Below are 12,527 nucleotides of genomic sequence, written 5' to 3'. Positions count from 1 at the left end.
TGAACGCTTTCATGCTTCTGGAGGTAGGGATGTGTGCTTGCCTTCCGCTGGCCCAGAACATTGCTTCCCCTGTAATGCCTCTTCACACAGTGCTGGTTGAACACATGCTCACTATTTCTGCTTTTGAACTGGAGAATTGTCCCCTCCGTTCCATATGTAATTGACACATCCTAGAGATTTATGATTACCTACCACTGGGGAGATTATAGTGTCATTGATAACAACGAAAAGGAAGATAAAATGAAGCTAGTGAACATCCGAAGGCACCATACGAAAATTTGTTTGGACATGTCATAAACACACACCTTCAGTAAGTGCTGAAAATGTAATGTTGACTAAGCCAGCCTTTTCTATTTTACATATGAAACCAAATTGATAAATTTATGATCCCTCTGAGTTTCTTTGTTCCTTGTAAATTAAAAAGTTATAGATCTGAAGGTGACATGTAATTTGCCAATATAAATGTGTAATGCAAGCACACTGTTTCACTTCTGCTATGAGGGCCTAGTTTGCAGCAAATCCTCTGGATAATGGGAGGCTGGAGAAAAGCGGCATACAATACAGGCACAGGAAATCATCTCATCTGCATAAAGGCATCCAAAAGATGCAAAAGCACCCAGGACTTTAGGGACCAAAGTCCTGGAGAGAAAGAAAACTCGTTGAGGAGAGCTCAATATTTCGTGTACCTTCATAAAACTCATTGAAGAGAGTTCATATTTTATGTACCTTCTCCTTCAATGTATTTGCCAATTCACAGTTGCCTAAACAGAGAAATAAAATTAGCCCAGAAGAAAGCCCAAGTCTGCTGGCACTGAAGGAAACAGAGACATAGGACAGTGGACCGATCACTTTTGGCATTGACTTACGAGCTTCATTTCAGCTTTGCCAACATGGAGCAAACAGAGTGAGATACTCAATAAAATTACCAACATTTTCATGGCACTGGAAAGATACAAATTGCAGTTCAGGGATTGCCATGTGGAATGACCCTGGGAAACATGTATCCTGCCAGTTGACAACCCTGGAGGCTGGGACTCCGGAAGGAAGTGGGAAGCAGAAATGGACCAGCACTCACACCGACTCCCACTGAGAATCAGGACAACTCCTGATGGGGTTAGGGTGATTTTCTCCCTCATTTAATACTGGCAGTAAGCTCAACTAAGTCTCTTACCAAAAAATAAAAATACCATCCAGAAACTCTACATTTTTAAGATGCATAAAGTCCAACTTTCAAAAAAAATAAAATTATAAGCATGGCAAGAGACAGAACTCAGAGAAAATAAAATACAGAAACCAGTGATAGAAATATTGAGTTTATCAGACTTGAGCTTTAAATAACTCTGATTAACATATTCAATAAAAAGACTGAAAATAGGGATAATTTTGCCTGTAATCTATATCAAAGCTTCAGATGAAACTTCTAAAGGCAAAATTAAGAGTTCAATGAATAATTGTTTTAACTGCAAAGTATTCACAGTTGAAGTAAGGATTAGGGGTTGGTAGAAAGCATACTGTCAAAAGCATAAAGAGAAAAAAATTGAAAATGTAAGGCGTGCAAGAGGCATATTTGACATGGAGAAAAGTGTAAAGTATTTGTAACTGCAGTCCTAGAAATTGTGTAGAAAATAAATAATGAGAAATATTTGGAGAGATAATAGGAGAGAATGTTCCAAAACTGACAAAAATATTAAGACATAGATTCAGGGACTATTACAAATTCCAAAGAAGAAAATAAATATACATCTACACATATTAACCAAAATAAAGACAAAAATCTTAAAAGCAGCCAGAGGGAAAAAATATGCATCATCCTTCAAAGAGCAAAAATAAGACTGACAGCTGTCTTTTTAACAGAAAGAGTGAAAAACACAAGATGGTAAAATGCCATATCTAAAACTCTAAAATAAAATAATTATCAAACTGGAGTTTGATTGCCAGTGAAAATAGCTTTCAAAAAAAAAAAAAATCAGTGACTACCAACAGTACAAGTCTCTATTATCTATCCCTTCCCTGATGACCTCTATAATCTCTGGACAGATTAAAGACTCTGAAAAGTAAACACAAGCAGGCAGATTATTGAAAAGAGTCATCATTTGAGACAAATGACACAAACAGAGAGATTTTTCTCATTTTTTCACTTCCTGTGGCTTTGCCCAAAGACAGACCTCTGCAAAGCAACATGGTGGTGCAAAAATTGCATTATATTTCTGGTTAGAGAACCAGGGAAAGAGGTACCATAAGTTGAATTTAAGAGGGAAGATCAAGAAGGGAGAGGTCTGGGGAATAGGATTTCATATTTCTGCATGTGAATCTTCACAAGCCTTAAGCTGATCCCTGAACCAAACATGTGTGAGACATACCCAATCCAGTGCAACAACAACAACAATAAAAACTGAGATTTAAAAACCACCCAAATGGTGGTGTTTTAAACAAATGAACATAAGATAAAGAAAAACACAGAAATTGTTTCCTATCCAGAGCGAATGGTGAAGAAATTTCAGTTGGAGGAAAACTAATAGAAAGAAATGGAATGGTTACTAGTAGCTGTTCTACAAGTAATACCGAAAGGATATCAGAAATGAGGTTAACATATTCTGCACACACACACACACACACACACACACACACACACAACGTGCAAACAAGAAAAGCAATTGCACGGATAGTCTATCATACTATCACAAGCTATGTATTTAACTTCCATTTTCCCCAAGGCAGAGCCAACATGGTACAATCATTGTATCTTTAGAAGTTTTGGCATCTGCCATAAAGATTTTTCTCAGCTTTTCCAGCTTTAGGGTTGACCCTCTGCCAACAGTTCATATTCCCACTCCAGTAAAAATGCATAAATGGTTTTAAACATCAAAGACAAGATGTCCGGACCCCACTTTCCATCTTCCCAAATGATTTTTCTGCATCTCTATAGATGCAAACAGTTGCACGTTGTAAAGAAGCAATATCTGTCTTCATTGATCTTTCTAGACACTAGGCCTTAGACCAGGGCTTGAAAACCAAATCTGGAGGGTAAATCTGACCCATAACCTGTTTCTGTATTAATGTTTCCCTGGAACACAGCCTCTCCCTTGGCTCAAGTCTTGTCTATGGCTGCTTTCACATGACAACAGCAAACTTGAACAGTTGTGACAGAGAACAGATGGCCCTTGAAACACTCATCATTTATTTTTTTCTATTGGAAGGTTTGTCCTCTAAACAAAGGAAAATAAAATGTGGTTATTTTCCTTAGAAGAACTACAAGTGGATAAATCTTCTAGTTTTAAATAATAAAAGGAACACTGTAGTGGTACTTTCAAAGTAAAATTAAGTTTTCCTCAATATACATAGGCTTATTAACTTAGAAGTTAACAACCATTGGCAATTCTTCCTATATTGCAGATTAAGATGAAAACGTTAGACCTGTTCCTGAGCCCATTAAGTTTTCATGGGACATCCCATTGTAATGGCACATACATGCACTTACACAAGGAAATATGGCACAGCATCCTAAAACAAACAATCCAAAAGTAAAGGGGACACTTATAATTTTCTAAAAAAACAAAACCAGAAGAATTTGCTGCCAACAGCAGTGTACCTAAAGAAATACTAAAAGTTTTTCTTCAGGAAAAGGGGTATCATGGAAATGCAGGGATAATTAACAACCAAGGAAAGGTTACACATGGAGTAAATCTAAATGAATATTGACTATATAAAACAATCATAATTTTATCTGTTTAATGTTTAATCTTCAGTGGCAAAAATCATAGAACATAAACATTTAAAATTTTCTAAATTTCAACCCTGAAGGTGGAAAAAACACTGACGTATATATATATTAGATTTTACCAATTTATGCATGCTAATAAGGTAACCAATAAAATGATGAAAGGGTAGAGTGATATAATAAAAGTAATTAAAATTTTTTATTTTATTTTATTATTAGTTTTAGAGACAGGGACTCACCCTGTCACCCATCCTGGAGTGCAGTGGCATGATAATAGCTTATTGCTACCTCAAACTCCTGGGCTCAAGTGATCCTGCCACCTCAGCCTCCCCAGTAGCTGGAACTACAGGCCTGTACCACCATAAAAACATGAATTTTGGTTTTTTATCTAAAACAAAACAAGGAAGAAAAAAAGAAATATAGAACATAAGGAGCACAGAGACTTAAAAGAAATGTTAGTAATTTAAATGTAGATGCAAATAGATTAAATACTTCAATTAAAATGTAAAGTTTATCAGACTAAATTAAAAATTTCCAGATAAATATAACTTGCAAGAGCTACTCTTAAATACAAAAGTCACATAAAGCTTGGAAGTAAGGAAAAATAAGCTAATCAAACACTACCTCAAAGAAATCTGGTATAGCTTAACAATATCAAAGTGTACTTCAAGGGAAGTAAAATTAGTATAACATGGAGAATAATCTTTTATAAAGTTATATATCACCTTACTAAGAAAGAGATCAATTATGAATTTGAATGAACCTACCATTATAGTTTTACATCATAATATAATGATAGATAGAACTAAAAGAAAGGAAAAAAAATCATAGCCAAGTTGGGATCCTTTAATGTACCTTTCTTATTATACAACAGAAAGATGAGATTAAACAAAATCAGTATGAATTTGAAAGATCTGAAAAATATCAATAAATTTGATCTAATTGACGTATAGAGAACGCTGCATAGAACTGACCACATGCTGGACCATAAAAACTCTTTCAACCTAACAATGAAAATCATTCACAGCACATTGTCTAAAACAGTAAAATTAATCTAGAAATCAATAAGAAGTAGCAAGTAGAGCTCTGAATGTTAGAAAAATAATTAGTATGTTTGTAAATAACCCATAAATTAATTAAGAAATGACAATGGAATTGATAAACTATTTTGAACTGAAGATGATTAAATATGCCATATTTAAGATTGCTAACATGAAAAAGACAACATATGAAGGGCTGGCATAGCTATGGTGTAACTGGTCATTTCACAAACTTCTTATAGGAGCTGATGTTTTATAGTTTTAAAAACACTTTGTATCAACTAAAGTTGGATATATTATACCTTATTACTCAGAAATCTACGATTTACCCAATACAATTTCAGTAATATGAACCAAAGACATGTAGAACCAAAGACATGTAGAGCAGCACTATTCTTACTAACTAAAAATTATAAAGATCTAGTTGCTAAATAGATAAATAATGGCCTAAGCTGGACACAATGACTCCCACCTATAATCCTAGCCATTTGGGAGGCTGAAGCAGAAGAATTGCTTGAGCCCAGGAGTTCGAGACCAGCCTGGTCAACATAGCGAGACCTTGGCTCTGCTAAAAATAAAAATTAGCTGGGCATGGTGGTGCACACCTGTGGTCTCAGCTACTCGGGAGGCTGAGGCAAGAGAATCACTTGAGCCTGGGAGGTTGAGGCTGCAGTGAGCTGTGATTGCACCACTGCACACCAGCCTGGGCAACAAAGCAAGACCCTGTCTCAGAAAATAATAGAAAATAAAAAAAATTGATGGCCTATTCACACAATGATATATTATACGACAACAACAAATAACAAGGATTCTCATAAATATATAGTTGAGTAAAAGAAGTCACATACAAAAGATTACCAAGTCATTAATAAACATATTTAAAAGGTAAAACTCATTGATAGTGTATGAATTAATAGGGTGATTCCTTTGGAAAGGTAGTAGGGGCAGTAAAGATGCTGAGGATAGCTCTGGGTGCTGGTAATATTCTATTTTCCAAATTTCATGGTTATCAGAATGTATTCTATTCACTTTATGAAATTTCATTTAGCTGTACATTTATGATTGTTATACTTCATTATATTAAGATGAGATCAAAAAGCTCACCCAAAATTATGTAATGCAAATAAATATTTTGAACAATACTTTTTGGTTGAAAAACGAGAAAGCCAAAATATCATTGCATTTTGATATTTTTATTCAATGTATTAATTATATAAAGTTTTTTTTTTTACATCAATTACCCTCATGCAGACACATGTATAAAGTTTTTCAATGTTGATATTAACTAAGGTTTTTGAGAAATTGGTAAAAGTTTCAGTTTTATTAAAGCATAGTGTCAGTATTATTAAATTGTTGTAAATAAATGAGAGAATTGTTGAAATGACCATAAAGTTTAAATGTTTAAGTATTACATGTTGAAAAAATGACTTGTTATCAATAAAAGAACAGCACACATTTAAACCTGGTTAGATAAAAAAATAAATATTCAGTAGAATTAAGTGGTCATATCTGATTAGTCTAAAACTTAGATTTGTTTTCATTTTTATATTTCTGTTTACTGTGCTGTATTAATGATGAGTAACAGGTTATTTGAATACCTATAAAAGCAAAATTTGTTGAAGATACAAAATATTTGGTTAGTGAAGAATTTAAGAGATTTTGAAAAACTCCAGAAGGATGTAATAAAACTAGATAACTAAACAATTTGTTGTCAAATGAAATGTAATATACACAGTGGAAGATATAATACACTATAAGAAATATTTTAATGTACATCCACTATTTTGAAATGATTATAACCACTGAAAAATTAAATATTAATATACACTCGTACAGACTGTCCTTAACTTATGGTGGTTTGAGTTATGATTTTTTGACTTTATTACAGTGTGAAAGCAATACATATTCAACAGAAAATCCATACTTCAAAGTCTGAATTTTGATCTTTTCCTGGGCTAGCAATATGCAATAAATACTCAGCTCCCAGTCATCCACAGGATCATGAGGGTAAACAACCGGTAGTGATGCCAGATGATTTTGCCCAACTCTAGGCTAGTAAGTGTTCTGAGTATGTTTAAAGTAGGGTAGGCTAAGCTATGATGGTCAGTAGGTTAGGTATATTAAATGCATTTTCAACTTACAATATTTTCAACTTACAATGGATTTATCAGGATGTAACCCCAACCTAAGTCAGGGAGTATGTGTACTTATTTCATCCTCAATATTTTATTTAGATAATTATGGAGTACCTATTATGGTCTTTAGATTCCATATATCTCATATTTCAAAATTATATGGAAGGATCAAGGACCAGGAATAACCAAGACACTCCTTGAAAAAGAAGAACACACAAGACAAGATTTGTCCTATTACATATTCACCTCGTTGTAAAGCTATATTGCATTTTATAGGCAGTATTGAAGTAGGGATCAATAAATACACCAGTGGAAGATAAAAGAAACATATTCCAGAAACAGATTCATGCATATGTGAAAACCTGATAAATATCAGAGCTCTTGTGTCATATCAGCGGGAAAGACAGTTAACACAGAATAAAGGGAAAGCAATTGACTATTCAAGTAAGAAATGAGAAACAGACCCCATTTCAATTGATAAGCAAAAATTTATCCCATACTGACATTTGAATATAGTCTTGATTTTAGATAATAGTATTATAATGACATCAATATTCTGGTTGTTATAATTATACTATGGATTTATAATATGTTAACATTAGGGAAAGGTTGAAGAAGAAAATAAGCGAACTTTCTGTGTTGGTTTTGTAACTGTTCTGTAGCTCTATAATTCTTTGAAAATAAGAAGTGTTTTTTAAAAAGGTAGTACAAGTAATATGTGATCAGTAAAAATTGAATTCCATGTTGATCATGAGTTTTAATGCGAATAGCAAAATTTAATATTCTTTTGAAAACAATATATAAGAATACTTTTAACCCTTTGTACTTGGAAAAAATTTCTTAAATAAGACTTAATAAATACAAACCATAAATAAAAATATGGATAAATCCAACTACCTTAAAAACAAGATTTTCTGTATATCATAATTTCTATCTCATTACCACAATTGTTACAATATTTTTAAGAAACAGAGTTTCAAGAGGTCAATGACAGCTCATAGAAAATAGTTACTTAGATATGAAAATCAAATTTAATCTCATTTCTGCCTAATTCTATATTTTTTTCCTTTGGGCGTTATAGTTTTCTCCTTCTCAAAAAATATATTTTAAACAATAAGCTAATTAACCTATAATTGTAAAAGAATGCATGGATAATATAACCTGCATTCATGGCATAGTTGTATGCTCACACCTACCTAAATTTACAAGAGAAAACAGCTTTTAGTTTATTAGAATCCATTTTATCTTTGGTTTTGACATTTTGAAATGAGGCATAAATAAGGATATCCTTATATAAAAACATGTCATGCATATTGCAATTACAAATATAGATTGATACAAGTATGCTGGATTGGTGACATACCATGAAAGGTGTGGCTATTGATGTTAAGATTTTTTGAAATTGTAAACAACTTTTAACAAAAGTCTGAGCCAAAGTATATGTTTTATTTAACTTACATGATAATTTTATTTCTGAATAATCCCATAAATATTAAATCCCAGCAAAAAACACTTTATGTTTCAAAAGAGTATTAGGTTTTATGCTCAATCATCCACCAATAGGAATATTAATGGGACATTTGATTTTCCAGTAGAAAAAACTTAAAAAACTTTTTATTGTACAGGGCTGTCCTGTGAATTTCAGTAAATCTCACTGATGGGACCCAACCAATTATATTCAGTGCATTGCTTTTCTTTGTGACAATGCAAAATCATTCATAGGAGGGGTCTTCAAAAAGTTTGTGAAAAAATGCATTTTATGAAAAAACTAAGAAGAGATTCTAAAATTGTTTTGGACCCAAATAAACTCATACTAACTTGTTATAACATGTCTAAGCAGGATCTAGTTTGAGGCACTAAGAAGGATAAGACATCAGTTTGAAAAGAGCCCCTATCAAAGCAACATGAATTCTGCTAAAATTAAAGAACACACATAAATTTACGGTGATGCTAAAGTGGAAAAATGGTAAAATCATTGATGCTTTACAAAAAGTTTAACAGGGCAATGCCCTAAGGAAATCAGCAGTTTACAAATGGATAACTTGTTTAAAGAGACAAGAGGATGTTGAAAATGAAGCCCATAGTGGTAGATCATTCTCATCAATTTGTGAGAAAAAAAATCATTTTGTTCATGCCTCAACTGAAGAGAACAAAAGATTCACAACAGAAACACAAGCCAACACCATAGACAGCTCAACTAATGCAGCTTACACAATTCTGACTGAAAAATTATAGCTGAGCAAATTTTCCAATTAATAGGTGCCAAAACCATTTCACCCAGATCAGTTGCAGACAAGAGAACTTTCAGTGGAAACTTTCAACAAATGGGATCAAGATCCTGAAGCATTTTTTCAAAGAATTATAATGGGAGATGAAACCTGGCTTCACCAGTACAATCCTGAAGACAAAGCACAATCAAAGCAATGGCAACTGAGAAGTGGAAGTGGTTCCATCAAAGCAAAAGCAGACCAGTCATGAACATAGTTCATGGCAACAGATTTTCTTTGTTTTGTTTTATAAGCTTAAGGTATTTTGCTTGTTGACTTTCTGGAGGGCCAAAAACAATATCATTTGCATATTTTGAAAGTGTTTTGAGAAAGCCAAAGCTTTTGCAGAAAAACACCTGGGAAAGCTTTACCTGAGACTCCTTTTCCACCATGACAATATTCCTGCTCGTTCTTCTCATCTAACAAGGGCAATTTTGTGAGTTTTAATGGGAAATCATTAGGCCTCCACCTCCAATCATTACCATCCTGATTTAGCTCCTTTCAGCTCCTTTTTGTTTCCTAATCTTAAAACATAAATCTGTAAAGTGTTCTCACTTTTCTTCAGTTAATAATGTAAAAAAGACTGTGCTGATATGATTCATTCCCAGGAGCCTCCACTGGTATTATTGCTTACAAAAGTGTTTTGAACTTGATGAAGCTTATGTTGAGAAATAAGTTTATATTTTTCCCTTTTATTTATTAATTCCATTTTCCACAAACTTTTCAAAATCCCCTCATACATTTTGAAATAATTTAACACCTTATTGGGAACCACTGGCTAATTTATATCAAGCTTCAGATTAATGTAATCAGGCCTGGCAGTTTTATGTTTGATAGAAACAACAGAACAACAGTTCCTTGTGTTTGCTGGTTGTTCTACCACCTTCCAACAACTTTCCAAAAAACTCTTCTCCAAAACTTTAGAAGGTAGCCATCTCTTCATCTTAGATAAATGTAAGTTAAAAAAGTCTAGTGCACTTTTGGAGGCTGAGGTGGGCAGATCTCTTGAGCTCAGGAGTTCAAGACCAGCCTGGGAAACATGGTGAAACCCTGTCTCTACAAAAATACAAAAATTAGCTGAGTGTGATGGCACATGTCTGTGGTCCCAGCTCCTCAGAAGCTTGGAGGATCACTTGAGCCTAGGATGGGAGGTGGGAGGATCACTTAAGGCTAGGATGCAGAGGCTGAGGTGGGAGGATCACTTGAGCCTAGGATACAGAGGCTGCAGTGAGCTGAAACTGCACCACCGCACTCCAGCCTGTGTGACAGAATAAACAAAACAAAACAAAATTCTAGAGATTTGCCCCAAGTCAAACACAATTAAACAGCTAGGTAAAATGGATCTCTTATCTAGTTGTGAGTTTTTATTATGACAACCAGTGGGAAGTTTAGCCTTCTAAGATTTTGGTATGGAGTGGATCCTTTCACATCACAATGTGCCATTTTCTTGGCTGAATTCAGCAAAGGATGGCATGGCAGTGGCTGTGGCTCTCTGCAGCCTCCTGCCTTGGCTCTGCCACAGGCATCCATGGGCAGCAATTGTTTCTCCCTTGCCTGTATTTCACAGGGCAGCCAGCTGGTCTTTGAGATGTGCACCCAGCACTTCTTGAAGTCTGTGTGATATATTAAGGAACTTTGTTCACTGTTGAAGGCAACCATCTGGTACAAAGTGCTGACACATTTGTTCTGATAGCGCACTGGGAAGAAACCTACTAGAGCTGCTGTGGGGGAGGTGAGGACAGGAGCAGCTAACAACCCTGAAGCCCCATGAGGACACATGGGAAGACTCTATGGGAGCTGAGAAAGACCAAAAACACTCCTGTGCAAGCACTCATGGTTGAGAGATCTGAAGTATCAGCAAAAGCACAAAGTGCTTCTCTCACCCAGGGAATGTGGGGAGATGTGGGACAGTCCTGGGGAAGCATACACAAGCATGTGCAAACTCAGCCCTCTCTTTTGGAATAAACAATTACCTTATAAAAAGACAGTATCAAATTCTATTATTAGAGACCCCCTCTTATCTTCTTTTGGAATATGCTAAGAACTAACCCGTTCTCCTGTTGTTAACAACACAATGATGCCACAGGTGAGAAGTTATATATTAGGGAGGTCCAGACAGGCTTTCGTGGAAATAACACCTAATCAGGCACAGAAAGGGGGTGTAGTAGACAGAATAGCCTCAACTACCCAAAAATGTCCACATCAGAATTTCTGGACTCTGAAAATATTATGCTGTATAGCAAAAGGAAATTAAAAATGCATATGGAATTAAATTTGCTAATCAGATATCATGAGATGGGGAGACCATCTGGATGATCTGGACAGTCCTGATGTAGTCACAAAGGTCCTTATGAGTGAAAGACAGGCAGAACAATAAGTTTCAGAATGGTGCAGCTTGAGAAAGACTCAAGCAGACATTGTGGGTGGCTTTGAGGATGGAAGGGGGCCATGAGCCAAGGAATGTTGACAGCCACTAGAGCTGGAAAAGGCAAGAGAATGAATGGACTCCTAGAGCCACTAGAAAGGCATGCAGCCCTGCTGAGACCCATTTGAACTTTGGACATGCAGAACTGTATAATGACATCTTTGTGTTGCTATAAGCCATAAGGATGTAGTAATTTTCTACAGCAGAAATAGGAAACTAATATAGGGTGGATTAGCTAGTGCCTTTTTACTTTATTTGTGTGATGGCAGACTTAGAGCAGCAGGTCGATAAATTTAGCAGCAGTGATTTAGTGATGAGAGAGAAAGATGTTTCATGGCTGCATGTCTTATGTTAAATTCTATCCTAATTTGAGCTCTCCCAATGTAGAGTTAATACGGACTAGAATCAAACAGTTTCTTTGGAAATAATTCCAGTGTTCTGCTGAGATGAAATTATGAACAGTGCCCAGGTACATTAATTTTGGCTATAGTATGAAGGATTTTGTGCCGCACATTGCATTTCACATTTGTCAAAGGTATAGTAATTTTGAGAAGGGAAGATTCAAAGAATAATGCCTTAAAGAGGCATATGAGATTAACTGAAGGGAACTGAGGCCAGCTAATGTCCTTTGCTTTACTTACTCATTTACCAAATGTGTTTGGAGCTGTGCTCAGTGTAGAGACAATAAAAAAATGGCCAAACTTAGTTTGTGTTCTCAAGAGGTTAATCGTCCATTGAATGAGACAATCCTATGGATGATTAAAAGATGACCCAGCAAATACTTCCCTGGAGGCATGGACAGGAGGTGGGGAAACAGGGCATGGTGTTGGAGTGTCCCTGGGGAAAATGACCAGCAATATTTCACTGTGTGATTATCTCGCCTGATTATTCTTATTGCATACGTGAGCACTCTATTCTTGCAACAAATGTCATATTGGACTG

The sequence above is a fragment of the Homo sapiens genome, chromosome 6 (genome assembly GCF_000001405.40).
Source record: "Homo sapiens chromosome 6, GRCh38.p14 Primary Assembly".
NCBI classification, from domain to species: Eukaryota; Metazoa; Chordata; class Mammalia; order Primates; family Hominidae; genus Homo; species Homo sapiens.
This window is presented reverse-complemented; position numbering follows the sequence as displayed.